Source organism: Homo sapiens, chromosome 3, assembly GCF_000001405.40.
Source record: "Homo sapiens chromosome 3, GRCh38.p14 Primary Assembly".
Taxonomy (NCBI): domain Eukaryota; kingdom Metazoa; phylum Chordata; class Mammalia; order Primates; family Hominidae; genus Homo; species Homo sapiens.
This window is the reverse complement of record NC_000003.12, coordinates 32,299,469-32,317,403: the sequence shown is the minus strand read 5'-3', so window position 1 is coordinate 32,317,403 and position 17,935 is coordinate 32,299,469. Positions and strand designations below refer to the sequence as shown.

The 17,935-nt window shown below is 42.9% G+C and overlaps 1 protein-coding gene across 5 annotated transcripts in view; it reads right to left on the bottom strand.

Moving 5' to 3' along the window:
- CMTM8 (CKLF like MARVEL transmembrane domain containing 8) overlaps positions 1–17,935 on the bottom strand; it is a 132,130-nt gene that overhangs the window by 52,918 nt on the left and 61,277 nt on the right. Inside the window, exon 1 of one of the 5 annotated variants that reach the window (XM_047447513.1) lies at positions 11,837–12,086. The exons of the other annotated variants lie outside the window; for them this stretch is intronic. Within the exon in view, the coding sequence (XP_047303469.1) occupies positions 11,837–12,001 (165 nt within the window). The 5' untranslated portion in view covers positions 12,002–12,086. Of the gene's footprint in view, positions 1–11,836; positions 12,087–17,935 lie in introns of those variants that run through there. 5 annotated transcript variants of the gene reach the window in all.

The following is a 17,935-nucleotide window of genomic DNA, read 5'->3' as shown; positions in this document are numbered from 1 at the left end:
TATTTTCCTACTAAATGTCATTTCAAGTAAGATGGACCAAGGTAAATGTGAGGAATTTACTTTAGAAAAGTAATCACAATTGTCCATACTTACTGTTTAATCTATGTTTTAAGTATTTATATAAAAAATAAACTAACATTTACTGAGAAGTCCCTGTGGTCCAGGCAGCTCTGAGCCCTTTCCATGTATTGACAGACTTAATCCTAGCCTGGCCCTGAGGTCAATCCTACGACCAACTGTGATTTCAGAAGAGGAAAGCAGCACAGATATGAGTCCCTGTCCCAGGTCCCACAGCTTGCAAGTGACAAGCAGATTTCAGATGCACTTCACCCTTTCCCTTGACTGCCTATCTGTGCAGAGCTCTCTGAAGCGTTTGAAATTTAGATCCCAAGACACTTCCAATACTCAGTTCTCTTAGAGTAATATGTAAGTCTAGGGTTCAATTTCCAAACGCTGGCTTGTCCTGCATTTTTAGGAGTAAATTATATGCAAAAACAACCTCCTATCATAGGAAGATATCTACCATATTGGCAAATTGACTTTCAAGTCTGGACTTACGAACAGTCAGGGATTTGATCCTGCCATGTAATAACTGGTTTCTAAAAACTTCACTGAAAAATTTAGCTTTCAACTCAAGTCATTCAACTCACCTTCCCATCTCACTCCCAAATATTATTTCCCCTGAATAAATCTGGAGTTTCAATGAAAATTGCTGCTGTTTTAGGGGGAAAAAAAAATCCCCAAACAAGCAGGATCTTTTATGTGCAGCTTTCACTTGATATTCAGGTAGCATAGAGCTCAACAATTGATTCAACATCTCCATCAGGCTCTATACGTTTAGCCACAAACCTTTCAACAATAAAGGCTGCATTCTTGTCATGCCTTCTGTCAACTTTTTACTAAGCTGCTCTGAAAAAGTTGCACATCTGTCAAGGCTCAGGACACAATGTGTAAACACCAAGGATCTGGGAAAGTTAGAATTATTCTCAGGGGAACTTTTTTTTTAAGACAATGGCCAAAACTTCATCAAATCTGCTTAACTAGTGAATGGACTTGAGAAAGTAAAAAGGTGGAATTGGCCGGGTGTGGTGGCTCACGCCTGTAATCCCAGCACTTTGGGAGGCTGAGGCAGGCGGATCACGAGGTCAGGAGATCAAGACCATTCTGGCTAACACAGTGAAACCCCGTCTCTACTAAAAATACAAAAAATTAGCCGGGCTTGGTGGCGGGCGCCTGTAGTCCCAGCTACTCGGGAGGCTGAGGCAGGAGAATTGGCGTGATCCCGGGAGGCGGAGCTTGCAGTGAGCCGAGATCGCGCCACTGTACTCCAGCCTGGGCGACAGAGCAAGACTCCATCTCAAAAAAAAAAAAAAAAAAAAAAAAAAAGGTGGAATCACAGAAAAGATCAAGTAAAATTTTAGATCTTGGTAATTTTCTTTTATAACTTTCCAGAGGATGTCTAGTTATTTCAAGGAGTACTAAGAGTTTCTCAAAATGGATCCAATTCATTAAAAAGAGAGGGAATGAGAGGCATCTGGGTTTCTTAAAAGAAATAAAATATAGGTTGTCAACTCCAGATAGTTTAGGAATTAGTATTTAATACTACATAAGCCACCAAAAAATATGCCATCTGCTCCATAAGTCACCTTTTTCAAAGCATGTTCTCAGAAATATTTTATGAAGCAAAGGTTCATGGTCAAATCTGGGAAAAGCTGGACTCAAGCCATCTCTTGGCAATGTGTCATATTAAAGCATGGAGTCACATAGTACAACATTAACTGTGATTAACCTGGCCTTCCAACCTTGCTCAGCCATGGAATCTCTTTTGCTTTAACATTCCAGGGATCCCACTGTGGGTGCCTTCGCTGAGCACCTGGCCAGTGATGCCTCTATTCTAGCAACTGGTTCATCCTGCCCCGTTTTGTGGTTCAGTGTCCGCATCTCTTCCTTGAACTGCAAAGTCTTTGAAAACAGGGCTGGGCGTGGTAGCTCACACCTGTAATCCCAGCACTTTGGGAGGCCGAGGTGGGTGGATCACTTGAGGTGAGGAGTTCGAGACCAGCCTGGCCAACATGGTAAAACCTCGCCTCTAATAAAAATACAAAAATTAGCTGGGTGTGGTGGCATGCGCCTGTAATCCCAGCTACTCGGGAGGCTGAGGCAGGAGAATCACTTGAACCTGGGAGGCAGAGGTTGCGGTGAGCTGAGATCGTGCCACTGCACTCCAGCCTGAGTGACAGAGTGAAACTCCATCTCAAAAAGAAAAAAAAAAAAAGAAGAAGAAGAAGAAGAAAACAGAGGCTGTGGCTTAGTTACCTTTGTTTCCCCACAGCACTTAGTTCACCACTGAACCAATGACCAAAGGCTCACTGGGGCACTCAAAAGTCAGGAAGTATGAACAGGGAAACAGGGACAACTGTGATGGGAATTTTTTTGCCACTTATTAAGTTTTCACCTATGTTCACTAGAACGCAAAAAAAAAATAAAGATCTGTGTACAAGGCTATCAATATCTCCATCAACAAGGCCTCAGTTGGACCCCCCCCGCCACCCAACCCTGAGCCTACCCTAGAAAATTTTCCTTCCTTACCAATAATGGAAAGAAAGAAAGGCATATTAACATTTCTAGCCCTGGCGTGGAGGCTCATGCCTGCAGTCCAAGCACTTTGGGAGGCCAAGACAAGTGGATCCCTTGCCCAGGAGTTTGAGACCAGCCTGGCCCACACAGTAAAACCCTGTCTTACCAAAAACACAAAAATCAGCTGGGTGTGGTGGCATGCGCCTGTAATCCTAGCTACTTGGGAGGCTGAGGCATGAGAATTGATTGAATCCGGGAAGTGGAGGTCACAGTGAGCTGGGATGGTGCCACTGCACTTTAGCCTGGGCAACAGAGTGAGACTCTGTCTTTAAAAAAAAAAAAAAAATTTTCTGGCTTACTCTGCCTACCCACCCTCTCCCCAGTAGGACCTGCCTTCACACCCCTGGTGTCTGAAGGGCTGGCTGCTCTTGAACTAGGAACTTGCATCAACCCTCCCTCAATTTCTGCAGAGCAGCCACTGGTCAGGAGCTTCCAGCACTCCTCAGCAAATCCTCTGGTACCCCAACCAGCCCCTGCAGCCCTGATACACCCAACATTGCTCTCATGTCATAATAACCACAGAATAACAAGGTTGCCCTTTTCTTAACTCACACTGCTCCCCTTTCTCCAGAGGGCCCAATGGTTGATGGAGAACAAAGTAATGATGCTTTACTTTTGTAGGGTGTAGCTGCTACTGCAGCTGTACTAGCCTCCAAAATGAGAAATAGATCCTGTAGAACCCTCTCCAGGAACTAGCCTCGGCAGCTTCTCTGAGACTGAGTCATCTTCCTTTATGATGCTTAGAGAGTACTGGCATCCAGATCTTTTTTTCTGAGACAGGGTCTCGCTCTGTCACCCAGGCTTGAGTGCAGTGGTACGATCATGGCTCACTGTAGCCTCAACCTCCCAGGCTCAAGCAGTAAATTTTCACCCAGTAAATTCCACTCCTCACCCTTCTATGTGTCCACGAGCCTAATCTTTCCTGGTCGTGTGACAAGAACATGGTTTTTTTCTATAACAGCACAATGAGTCATTCTTCCTCCCACTCTTCCCTCTTCACCTGGTCTTTTAAAGCAGTGCTTTGCAAAGTGTATCAGTTACCTGTAACTTGCTAAACACGGATTCCAGAGCACTAAACCCCCAGAGATTCTGACCCAGTAGTTCTGGGATGGGTCCCAGATGTCTGCATTTTTAACAATTTCTCCAAGAGATTTGGATGCTGGGCCAGGCCTGGTGGCTCAAACCTGTAATCTCAGCACTTTGGGAGGCCAAGGTGGGCACCTTGCTTGAGCTCAGGAGTTTGAGACCAGCCTGGGCAACATGGCATAACCCCTTCTCTATTAAAAATACCAAAAAATTAGCCGGGCATAGTGGCATGAGCCTGTAGTTCCAGCTACACAGGAGGCTGAGGTGGGAGCCTGCTAACAGGCTCTCCACCTCACTGACTGAATCCCAGCTCACTACACAGGAATACGAAATGCTAGGCTCCCCCCTGCTGCAAATAGCATGAAATTTCCAAGGCCCCACCCTGTTCTCCCAGTGCTCAGGTGGACATTACTCAGAAAGAATCCGTCGGGAAAGAGCGGGCTTCATTCGGGACCAGCAGTCTGGTTTTTCAGTTTTCAGGCTGTTTTAGGCTTAAGGTGGGGTTTCACCAGGGGCAGGAGTTGGCTGCCTCCTGTCTCCATCAGTGCTAGGCAGAATAATGGCCTCCAAGAGATGTTCATGCCCTGATCCTCAGAACCCATGAATATGTTACCTTACATGGTGTGATACTGTGATATAATAAGATATACATTTTGGTCTTCATCCACAGTTCTTGCCTTATAGCTCCTAAAACCCTTATAATTTCCTAAGTGATTAGAGCAATAGGAATATCTTTTATTATAAGATTTGGTCTTTTGTCCTTGGTTCCTGGAACAGCCCTGGACCAATAAAGGTGAAAAAAAGTCTTGTTATTTAATAACAAGCCCCTTTCAACCACATCTGAGTTTATGTTAATAAGGTGATTTCTGGAAAGCTACTAGATAACCACCACAGGATCGGGGGCGGTTGCTAGGGGGCACAAATCATGTGATTAGAGGGTTAGAACCTTCAGCCCGACATCCCAACCTCTGGGTAGGGAAGAGGGACTGAAGATTGAATTGATCACCAATGGCCAGTGATTTAATCTAGCGTGCTTCTGTCATGCAGCCTCCATAAGAACCTCAAAGGACAGAGTTTGCAGAGCTTCAAGGTTGGTGAGGAAGAACATGTTCACATGCCAGGAGGGTGGTGACCCCCAACTCCATGGGGACACAGCTCCTGCTCCACACCCCTGCCCACATGCCTTGCCCTGGGTACCTCAGCTTCTGGCTGTTCATCTGTATCCTTTGTAATATCCTTTACAGTAAATGTGTTTCCTGAGTTCTGTGAGCTGTTCTAGCAAGTGATTGTACCTGAGGTGGGGGTCACAGGAACTGCCAATTTGTAGCTAAGTCAGACAGAAATTGTGGGATTACCTGGGGACTGAGAAAGAAAAGAAACTTTTTATCTGAGGGATGCGGGCCCCCTTTAAATTATCAAGCCTAGGGAGGCATTGAAATGAGACATTTCATTTCAGGGGTCACATCTTACCCCTCTGCCCTTGAACTAAGTAATCATCTCCGAGTTGCTTGCTATGAGGGCTCTAGACTGACGCCACAAATAGCTATAAATTAACGTAACAATGCCATACACTGGATACCATAACCCATACCCTGTAGTTCAACAAAGTATAGCCAATCTCTCATCAATGTTACTTCCGTAAACCAAGGAGAATTCTTGAAAACAATTTTTATAATCGCCCCTCCTCTGAGTCATCCTTTTTTCTTTAAAAGCTGAAGCCTCTCTTTTGTTCTCCAGAGGACTTCCCAGTGCTTCCCGGGCTGCAGTCATCAACTTATCCCAAAGCAATTCTCTACCTGTGTTAATTTGCCTCAGTTTCTTCCTTTAGGTCAACAGGACCTACTACTTGCAATTGGCGTTTGAAGTGGGCAGGGGCAGTCTGGTGGGACTGAGACTTCAACCTGTGGGATCTGTGCTAACTCCAGTTAGTGTCAGAATTGAATTGATTTATAGGACATCCAGCTGGTGGAGAATCGGTTGGTGTGGGGGGAAAAAGAACTACACATGTGGCCACAGAAGTGGGCTGACTATGAATACTAGAGAGGAAACAGGAGTTTCACATGGCAAAGAGGACATTGCACATGGGATTAAGAATCTTAAAGTGAGGAAGTTCTCCTGGATTACGAGATGAGCCTGATATAGTCACAAGGGTCCACAAAGGTGAAAAACGAGTCGGGAGAGTGGAACGGAGCCATGAGCCCAGGAAGGCAGCTGGAGAGACAAGGGAACCAATTCTCTCCTAGAGCCTCCAGAAGGAGCGAAGTCCTGCCAGATGGCAAATATTTTAAGCTTTGCAGCCATACGGTCTCTGTCACAATGATTCAACTCTGTCCTTGGAGCACAAAGGCAGCTATAGACAGTTCACAAGTGAATGGCTGTGTTCCAATAAAACTATTTGTAGACACTGAAATTTGAATTGCATATAATTTTTTACAAACTGCAAAACAGTATTCTTGTTTTAATTTTTTCCGCAACCGTTAAAAAATATAAAAGTCATTCTTAGCTTGCGGGTCACACAAAAACACGTCATGGGCTGGGTCTGGCCTGTAGGCTGTGGTTTGCTGACCATCCCCGATACCGTATATACTCTTTTGTGTCTGGCTTCTGATTCAACACAATGTCTAAAATTCATCCAGGTCGTTTACATTAGTAATTTACATTGCTGTGCAGTATTGTTGGCTATGCCACAACTGTTTATTCATTCACTTGTTGAAAGACAGGTCCAATTGTTTACCTTGTCTTTATCATAACCATCATTAATTACTGAAATATTAAGCATATGCTCTAAAAATGTCCAGAAAGAAAAGCAAAAATTATAGCAGCATAGGTGTTTAACATTTTTTTCCAACTTTGTGTATTTCCAAATTTCTATGTTTTCCTCCAACTTTCTACAATTCACAATTCTTTATACTTGTATAACCTGAAAATGCAAACCAATCCTATAAAACAAGTCAGAGTATTTCCTAGTTTATTTAGACATTCAGAGTTGCACCTGGCACCACTCAAAAGCATGAGCCCATAGCTGACCATAAGGATAATCCTGGCAGAGAAATTCTCAGGTTCCTGGGAGGAAATGGCACACACGATTGCTGTGTTGAGCCTCGCAGTATGATTTCTTCCTCGCGCTGCAGGAAAATAACCCTAGGAGAAAGTAGTAAACAGCTATTTTTAAGTCCGGCCTAGTTTACTTGAACTCATTTCTTCCTTTGGCACCCCTCATTGGCAAGGACAAGGCCTCCCATTAAGATGTTATTTACTGGATGGGAGATCTCTAAAGCATCTCCAGACAGTGTATCTACAGCTCAGGTATATTTTTTTCTTGGAGCAAAAACACAGCTGAACTGTAAATTTAAGCTGAAGCCTGACAGTGCCAGCAAAATCCCTTTGCTCTAGAATTCTGCCACGCTGGAATCTGATGGGATTCCTTTGGAGAGCCATCTCCCAAATTTGTCCCTACAGTTGAGTACCTAATTTCAAAGCCACACTTTAGCCTTGATAAATTCGATTTACAGAAAAAAAAAACCACAATTTTAAAAATCATCCACAGCCCCACTACTCCTTTCTACACATGAGAACAGTAAAAATCAGAATGGATGGATCTCCTGTGTTCACTTAGTCTCATTTTGAGATGTCCTTAATTTGCTTCCTCTTTTCTAAAAACTGAGCTGTGAAAATAAAGACTGGCTGTGAGAACCTCAAATGGTCCTGCAGAAAGCAGGGCTGACCAGGCAAGGTTGAGGGTGACTGAACTCAGTCATCTGATGCCTGGGGGCAGTGAACAGACATTCCCATCGAAAGTTCAGGATGCCCGCAGTACGAGAGGGCCTCCCTGCATAAAGCTCCCATCCCCTACTGTGACTTAGGAAATCATAAACCCCAAGAGCACAGACAGGGCTAACACAGGGTATGAACATCTGTTCTGGACTTCTGATGAACCACAGGCTCAATCAGAATAGCCAAGTTACTGAAAGCATGACCGACTTTGAGGAAAAGTGAGACACCTAGGTTCTATAAGTCTGGAACACTACATGGACACAAGAGTCCAGCACGGGGGCATAAGAAAAAAAATTGGTTGGCCAGGTATGGTGGCTCATGCCTGCAATCACAGCATTTGGGAAGCCGAGGCAGGTGCATCACCTGAGGTCAGGACATCGAGACCAGCCTGGCCAAGACGGCAAAACACTGTCTCTACTAAAAATACAAAAATTAGCCGGGCGTGGTGGTGCACACCTGTAATCCCAGCTACTCAGGAGGCTGAGACATGAGAATCACTTGAACCCGGGAGGTGGAGGTTGCAGTGAGCTGAGATTGTACCACTGCACTCCAGCCTGGGCGACAGGGCAAGACTCTGTCTCGAAAAAAAAAAAAAAAAAAAAAAAATTGGTAAATTGGTTGAGAGCTCAGCCATGCTTGAGCCCTTCCAAGTTTAAACCCAAATCAGCTGGTCTTCCCACAGCACCAAGTCTAGAAAGGCCCAGGCAATGCTCTGCCCCACCACCCTCCACCCATTTCTGTGAACCAGCAGTGAGTGTGTTAAGGATGCTTGTCTGGAGATGAGCAACTTGGTACACATGCGTACATATGACCCAGACTCAGCACTCCCCAGGACACCCAGTTCTCACTAAGAAACATCCAATGACCTTTCAAACCTCCTGATTCTCCCAACCTCATAGTGCCATAACCTCAAGGACGATGGGTGTCTGAAGACAGGGGCCAATCCCTTTTGGTCATGGTTGATACAGAGCTGCCACGATGACTTTCCAGCATAGGAAGGAGCATCTCTAATGGTAGGGCTGCTGTGACCCCAAATTCTGAGTTTTGAACCTTAGGTTCCTAGAGATGTTACCACCTTATTTTCATGTGACAGTTGCACCATAGGATCTAATGGATAATATATATTAAAGTTCACTAAGCGTCATTGTGTCTATTAACTCATATTAAAATACATTAAGAGCAGATTATGTCTATTTTGAGTACCTCATACATAACTTGCAGTGTTCTAAGGGCTTTCCATGTATTCTTATTTAATCCTCATCATGATTCTGAGGTAGGTACCATAATTAGTCCCATTTTACAGATGGAGAAACTGAGACACAGAGAGGTGAAGTCATGCTGAACTCATGAACGATGATAGAGCCCCGATCTCCTCATGCCAGTGCCCTTTCCAACTCTAGTGCACTCTCCACTGTCCCATCCAAGTAGCTAAGTTCTGGAGAAGAAACTGCGGGCTGGAAATGCTTAGCTGTGTGCTCAAGAGCTCTCCTGCAAATCTGTTTTCTTTTAAGCATAACCATGCAGACATATGGAGGGGGACTTCACATAATTGTTTTTCTCTATAAAGACAACTCAATATATTTTTCTGTAGCTTGATTTTTTATTTCTTCACAATATATCACTAGCATCCCTCACACTGTGGACATGAATCTGCTTCTGTGTTTTCTGATGCTGTGGAAAGCAGGACCATTTAGTCTGAATGTCTCCGCCTCCCTGTGCTAAATTAGAGACATGGAGTCGGTAGAGTGCGAAGGAGGTGTGACTCTTTCATCCTGAAAGGATGCTTAAGTCTCTTATGATAACAATTAAATGGTAAGGAAAAATCCTCAACACCCTGTGGTGTCTTCTATTTTCTGCTCTCTTCTCCTTTTGAATTGAGCCGCTTAAAGGAATGGTCTTAACTGGGTATCTCAGTATTCTCTTGGCTTCTCAGAGCCTAAACTCTCTTAAATGCCTTTGCTGACTTATTTCCCTTTGCCCACTCCTTGAACATGGCCTGCCAGGGCCTTCTCCATTTGTACTTTTGCCCCAGACTGGCTCTCAAAGTGTGGTCCCAGACCAGCAACATCAACGTCACCTGGAAGCTTGTTAGAATGCAAATTCTATGGCTCCACTCCAGATCTACTGACTCAGGAACTCTGGGGGTGGGGCCTGGGGAGCTCCGATTTAACAACCTTCCAGGTGATTCTGATGCAGCTAAAGTTTGAGAACCATTGCCTTAGACAAACCCACCCCTAGCAGTCACCTCCTCCCATTGACTGGAAATTCCCACATCTTCATCTTTAACCTCGACTTCTCTTCAAGCTACATACCTACACATGCAAGTATGCTCTCTGGCCATCTCTGCCTTGCCACTCCACAGTCTCCTATACTGAATGCTGCCCAAAAAGGACTTACTTATCATCTCCCCGAGGATCTGTTCTTTCTCCCTCATTCCCAGCAACTCATGCCAACACCATCTCCCCACCTACCCAAGACAGAAACCAGGAAGTCATCCTAGACTCCTGCTTTTCCCTCATCCAGTCAGCCACCAGGTCAGGTTGATTCTACCTTCTCTTTTTTTTTAAGATGGAGTTTCGCTCTTGTCGGTCAGGCTGGAGTGCAGTGGTGCGATCTCAGCTCACTGAAAACCTCTACCTTCCGGTTTCAAGTGATTCTCTTGCCTCAGCCTCCCGAGTAGCTGGGATTACAGGCATCCACAACCATGCCCAGCTAATTTTTGTATTTTTAGTAGAGACGGGATTTCACCATGTTGGCCAGGCTGGTCTCAAACTCCTGTCCTCATGATCCACCTACCTCGGCCTCCCAAAGTGCTGGGATTACAGGCATCCACAACCATGCCCAGCTAATTTTTGTATTTTTAGTAGAGACGGGATTTCACCATGTTGGCCAGGCTGGTCTCAAACTCCTGTCCTCGTGATCCACCTACCTCGGCCTCCCAAAGTGTTGGGATTACAGGCGTGAGACACTGTGCCTGGCATCTTCTCTCCATTTTTATGACCTTAATTCAGATTCTCAGCTGGCCTAAGTCAGCTTCCAATGAGGCACCCAAGGACCTAATGTAGTACCCGTCTCTTCCAACCCTCACACTATTGCCAAGATAATCCCTCTAAAACATGAGTCTAAATGCATTAACCTTACCTAAAACTCAAGGTTGCCCACTAAACCTTAGCACCAAATCCCAACTTCTCAACAAGGAAGTATCCAGTCTCATCTTCTGCTGTTCCTATAGACATTCCAGGTAGATGTAACCATTTGCCTCAGCAATCTTACTCCTGAGAATATAGCTTCCAAATTATCAAACAGCTCCACAAGGTGACATGTACAAAGATATTTATCACAGCTTCCAGAGTTGGAATCAACTTTGGCTTCCATCACTGGAAGAGTGAATAGGCAAAAGGTGGTGGATGCATACTCTGACTAATCAATGGCTCTAATTAAACTCCCTATAACCATCCCTTTGCAATGTCGCTTTTCAGTTCCTCCCATCAAGTGGTGGAGTCTATTTCCCCACACTTTGAATCCAGACTGGATTTGTGGATTGGACTCGTGCCTTGGTTTAGCCAACAGAATATGGCAGAAATGACTGTGGTCAAGTTCCAAGTATAGGCCTTGCACAATTCTCCTCCCTTGGATTCCTGGCCTTGCCATCAGGTGACCAAGTTTAGGCCAAACTGATGAAGGATGACAACAATGTGCCATGGACCTCTTAAATCATGCAGTCTCCAGCAGATCACAGATGAATGAGTGACACCAGCTGAGATCAGCAGACCCAGACACAAATCAGCCAAACCACTCAACCAACCCCACAGACTCACGAAAAAGGAGTGACCATTGTTTTAAGTCACTAAGTTTGGGATGGTTCATCACAAAGCATACTAACTGCTACACACTCCAAGGAGTACCAGGAAAGCAATTCAAAGCAACAGAATAGATGGATCCATAGCAACATGAATTGATTTTAATAGCATAGGGTTAACTGGAAAAGAACTGAATGAGATATCTTAACACAATTCCATCTACATAAGTTATCTACAGTCAATACACATTTTATTTTTTAAAAACATGCAAAATTAAAGATTTCTGTTATATTTAACCCACGAATATGGTTGCCAGTGGCATGGAGGAAAGGAGGCACAAATGAGGAAACAATAAGAGGCCTCCATGGAACAATGATGATGCTGTATGAACTGAAGAGTGGGATTTCTCAACCCTCCACACTTACTAATGCCTACTCATCTGGTAAGTCCCAGCCCAAATGGGGCTCCTACTTATAGCCTGCTGTGCCATCTCCTCTCAGATCATTAAGGCTCGTAGATGAATAAGAAAGTGTATTTACCATAGTTTTGTGATTGTCAACAGCTGTGATATAACCAGCTTTGAAGGCAGGGTCCAGGACTTCATTTTCTTGGAACACCCAGTATCTCATACACTGCACATATTTGTCAGTAAAATAACTTTCTATCCTGTAAAGCAGTTTTTCCAACCTTGCCATCAGTGACATTTTGTACCTGATGCCAATACCACCCTCCTAGTTGTGACAATCAAAAATGTCTCCAGTCGCAGGAGAATGGCGTGAACCCGGGAGGCTGAGCTTGCAGTGAGCAGAGATCACGCCACTGCACTCCAGCCTGGGTGACAGAGCGAGACTCCGTCTGAAAAAAAAAAAAAAAAGCCTCCAGTCATTACCAAATGTTCCCTAGGGAAAAAAACTGCACCCTGACTGAGAACCACTGCCTTAGCCGCTTGAGTCCATAAAGCCACAACTCGAAGATGGCTTTGTAGAAACATTTAATATGTTTGAAACAAAAATGTTTGAGATTAGGAATTACATCACTCTCTACCTAATGCCGCCCAAGGGAGATTTAGATTGCCAAAATATTTCTGTCTTAAAGAGATGGTTCTCAGCCACTAGCCCAAAACTAATGTTTTAGTTCACTACCCTATGGGGAAAGATTAAATACAAAATTCACTTGAGCTTTCTCATCTATGCAGAAATATTCCTCCTCATAAGCTTTAGTCAAACCTTTTATTTACAAAGTTTAAATCTGTCTCCTTAAGTCAATGGCATAGGCTGCTGATTTCTGTTATACTGCAGAAGCTGTTTATCTAGCTGGACCTGCTAAAGCAGATGTTCCTACTCTGTACTATTAACTGGAACATGAAAAACCAACATGTAACCAAGCTGAAAGAATTCTGCCTCATTTATCTTGTGTGTGCCACCAGGGCAAACACCAGGCATTTTAATAACCTCATCTGGACCTTCGGTAATCATTGCAGGCTACTAACTCCAGACAAATATTTGCCTTGGAGGTTTCTCTATGGAGAGACAGAAGTAAACTAAGCTTCTTTTGTTCATATAGATTGAGTATGACAATCTAGAAAATACAGAGCACTCACATCATTCATTTCTTGTAACTATACAAATAAAGGAGCAATGGAATTGATTCTACAAAGATCTGCTGGAATACATTTCCTTTATACTTTTCCTTTCCCCCATGCCATCTCCAACAACAAATCAAAGTACAGCTGAGAAGAACATCAGTGGATGTTACAATCAGAGAGGCCAAGGCTGTTGGGGGAAAATTCATTCTCCTTGTCTCAGAATAGGACACCCATTTTCAGCCCCCTGCCAACACCCAAACTTTTACATGAGAATAGGGTCCCTTTTATAAGACCTGGCAGATGCTACTGTAACTAAGTGACCAAACTTAGCAACACTGATTTTGGTACAACCAATTATCATGCGATCACAACCAGATACATGCCAGCACCACCTGGGCTGTATTCTTACCCAAATGGTCTAACAGGCTGAGGATTTTTCTAGATTAAAGGTGACTAAAGAAACATGGCAACTAAAAGAAATCTGTCGATCCTTGACTGGATCCTCAAACAAAAGGCTGAAGTAAAGGACATTCTTGGGACAAAGTAGAAAATTTGAATATGGACTGCATCACATATTAGTGAATTGATGCTAAATTCCTTGAGTGTGATGAAGGTATTACAATTAATTTAAATAATTTAATAGTTATTTAATGATTTTTGGTAAATACATACTGAAATACCTAGGGAATAAATGTCAGGCCTGCAACTTCCCAGTGGTTTAACAACAACCACAACAAAAATAAGATCACACACATTCACACAGCGAGAGAAACCAGATGTAAAAAAATGTGAGCTGGCAAATGTAAGTGAGGAGTCTACAAAATTTAAGCGAAGGAGTCTATATTGTTCTACTTTCCTGCAGATTTGAAATTTTTCAAAATTACAGTTGGGAGGGGGAGGGGGGAAGCTCGGTTACCATCAATGTGTAAACAAGCCAGAATGTTTCAGAAATGAAACATACGGGAAGAAAGTATGAGAACCAAACAGTATTTCCTGCCTCAAATTTGAAGATAAGCGACCCAATTTACTTTTAAGTGTTTGGAGGCATAAGATAAAAACAAAAACGAAACACCTGAATCTAAACCAACACATTTGACCCTGTCACCACATTAAGAACGAGCTGAACTCAGACATTTTGATGCATCAGAGTTCTCAAAAATACTAGAAATATCTCACTGATATGATAATGGCCTTGAAGATTTATGCAGATACGAAATGAATTCCAAGCAAAGCATTAAAGTAATCTTCATAACTTGTTAACACAACTGCTCTCAAGAGAATGTTGAGAAATCTTGCCAGGAAAGGCCTACAGTTCCCAGCAAGCAGTAACTATCAGCAACTTAAGAAGACAAAGATCTTTTTTAAAAACCTTACTTATTTGCAACCTACATTTGTTTTGGATCCTAGACGCCTGCAATTTGGACACTCAATTTAGAGTTTATGTAATAGTGATCAAAAAGGATTTGCTGGAAGGGAGAAAGCTGTGCAATCGGGCATGTGATTGTAAGAGCTGGGGGTCAAAGAGACGAAATTGGTTTAATAAAACAAAATGGGGCCACCTGGGTATTTAAGTGTGAGACCAGGTCTCTCTCCAAAGACAACAAAGTTCTACATCTAATGCCCCAGGGTTCCTTTGTTCAAATTCAGCCAATCTCTTCATGCCATGGGTCTTAAAAGATCCTGAAGTTACAGACTTCAGGTACTTGGTGTGTATGCGCACAGGTACTTCATACACTTCGTGTGTGTGCGCACAGGTTTCCAAGGAGAGGGACCTTAGCTTTCTTCTTTTCTCAACAGATCCCTCACCTCCTCAAATAGGTGAAAAACCCATGCCTTGTGAAATTTGCTCCAATTTCTTCTCTGGGCTTGAAAAACCCAGGGAAATCCTAGCACTCACAAGTCCACTTCTAAATTCAAAAGGGCCTCTGATTCCTTCTCTTCTACTTCCATCTGTCTCACCACTGTTCCAGCTTTGTCAGGGGGCCAATCGCCTTTTGGGAGCCTTGTTTCATCTAATCCTCCCTTAGGCAAGGAAATCTTTGCTCTCAGACTTAAAACTAACTTTGAACTGGAAAGTGACCTAAGATGTCGGGAACAACCATAAACTGAACAGCATACAGAGGCAGAAAATTGCATTTTGTACTTTTCTATCCAATGCTGTGCTACTTGTTCCAATAAAGAATTAACTTCAAGGTAGTTATTTTGTGGGGGTATTTTGTTTTGTTTCTGAGACAAGGTCTTTGTCACCCAGGCTAGAGTGCAGTGGTGCAATCATAGCTCACGGCATCTCCAATTCCTGGGCTCAAGCAGTCCTCCCACCTTAGCCCCCACCTCCAAGTAGTTATGACACGTGCCACATTTCAGCTAATTAAATTTTTTTTTTTTTGTAGAGACAGGAATTGCCCATGTTGGTCTCCTGCCTTGGCCCCCCAAAGCGTTGGGATTACAGGCATGAGCCACCATGTCTGGCCTATGCTATTCTTATTAAGAAAAAAAAAAAAGTCAGCAATCAGTGATCACTCTTAATTCCACCGAAAGGAATTTGGGTCTATTCTATTTTTGTTGCAAAAATTTTAGCACCAGAAAGAATATTAATGACTATGAATTCAAGCTTTTCATTTGACATATGCAAAAACAAAAGTACTGTGATTTACCCAATGTCACATGGCTGGTTAGCCAGACTCGAAATGGAAACCTCTTGACACTCAGTCCAATGTTCTCTGACATCACCTGCCTTTTCACACCAATGCCCTCTGAAAAATACTATTTTTCTTTCTTTTTTTTTTTTTGTTTCATATCAATGATAAGAACTGCTGGATGGAAACCAAAATCATTCATGGAAAACTGTATGAGATTTCAGGAATCCCCAGTGCAATGTCACCGATGCCGGGATGAGTCATACTGCAGCTTGATCAAGTCCAGGTAGACAGAGGACCCCTCCCAAGGGCTGTGTCTCCCCTATCCCTCTTCATCCACCACTCTCCCTTGACCACTTTCTGCACCACTGGCAGGAGGGAAAGATAAGGTGGAATCCTTTTGCCCATATATTGAATGATTATTTAATTGCCCTGTTTCTAGTTTTAAAAACAACAGGATAGAAATTTATATATTGTTATTTAAAATGTCTTATGTTGCTTTATATATATATATACAGCTGTCAAAGTATAATTTTTTTTTGAAAAGGTCAGCTCTTGACTCATATAGAGTATGCATATGCTAAAGATTCTGTAACTTGATGAGTTTGTCAACTTAAGCAGAATGACAAAGCTGGCTCAAAGGTGGATGGCACAGAAACCTAAGTAGGGCAAAAAATCTGTGGAAAGATGAATGCCGGGATAAGGCTGGAAACTTAGAAACAAACCGGGTTAATGTCCTACCTGGCATATAGCAGTACCCCTGATGCTCCTTTTCTGCCATAAGAAATCCTTCCCATCTTAACTGGACAAAAATCATTTGCAATTTATTAATCTCAGCCATTTGTTTTTATAAGACCTGCAAGTGAAGGATGATTTTTATATTTTTAAATGGTTGAAAAAAATTAAAAGATTTTTTTTTTTTTTTGAGATGGAGTTTCACTCTTGTTGCCCAGGCTAGAATGCAATGGCAAAATCTCGGCTCACCACAACCTCCGCCTCCCAGGTTCAAGCAATTCTCCTGCCTCAGCCTCCCAAGTAAATGGGATTACAGGCATGTGCCACCACGCCCAGCTAATTTTTTGTATTTTTAGTAGAGATGGGGTTTCTCCATGTTGGTCAGGCTGGTCTTGAACTCCCGACCTCAGGTGATCCACCCACCTCAGCCTCCCAAAGTGCTGGGATTACAGGCGTGAACCACCGTGCCCAGCCTAAAAGAATATTTTATAACATAAAATGAAATATGAAAATGCTATGAAATCCAAATTTCAGTGTCTCTAAATAAAGTTTTATTGGAACAGTGTTAGGGCTCAGAAGACAATACCCTAAAGTAAGGGCTCAGAAGCAGTTTTTCTCTGACCTTGTCCTGCTTGCCTCTCAGCCTCATTCCCCCTTTCCCCCAAAAAGGCAAGCACAGATATTAGAATCCCTCTTCCCCAATGGAGATCATGGAAACCAAAACCCTTTTCCCCAAAGCCAGCCATAAAATCTAAAAATTTCCCCTACTTTTCTGTGTAAGAATTGGCCACAAAGAAATAATCTGACTGACCTTGTTTGGTTGTAGTTCATAAGACCCCCATTCCAGAAAGGGTCCTGCCCCATACCTGGAAGGAAATTATGCTGCAGAGAGTCCAAGAAGAATCTGAACAGACAGCCCTTGCTGGGTTCCCCCGCTCAGCCTATTAGCATTAGATCACACCCTTTTGGTCCAACCACAGTTCCACACAGCTATCCATTCATCATCAAACTGAAGCATAAAAATGGATAGCTTCCCCTGTATCTTTGGGTCTTCGATCTGAAGACTGCTGTGTCACGCAAAAGTATGATCAAAGAAATGTGTTATGCTTTTGTCTGTTAACCTTTTTGTTATAGAGGTGCTGGCCATGATTTTTATGATGGAGAAGAAAGGCATCATCCCTTTTCAGCACCTACAGTGGCTGTATCCATTCAGTTATGTATTACCCGTGGCTGCTTTCACACTATGATGGCAGAGTTAAGTAGCTACAGACAGTACATATTTTGGCCTACAAAGCCCAAAATATTTACTATCTGGCAGTCTGCAGAAAAACATTGCTACATTTTCCCCTAGATTATTAGATGATCTTTGCTGGGTTTGTCAGACAATGTTCTAGTAGGATATTAAAAGGGCACTCAGTCATCTTCCTGAACTTTTTTCTAAGTTTCAAGTACATTTTTCTTGAAGACTACCGTCAATGATAATTTAATTATAAATTTAAAAATAAAGAAGAGTATAACTGAATCATTTGTAACTCAAAGGATAAATGCATGAGGGAATAGATACCTCATTTTCCAAGATGTGATTATTACGCACTGCATGCCTGCATCAAAACATCTCATGTACCCCAGGTACATAAGCACCTACTATGTAGCCACAAAAATTAAAAAATTATTTTTCTTAA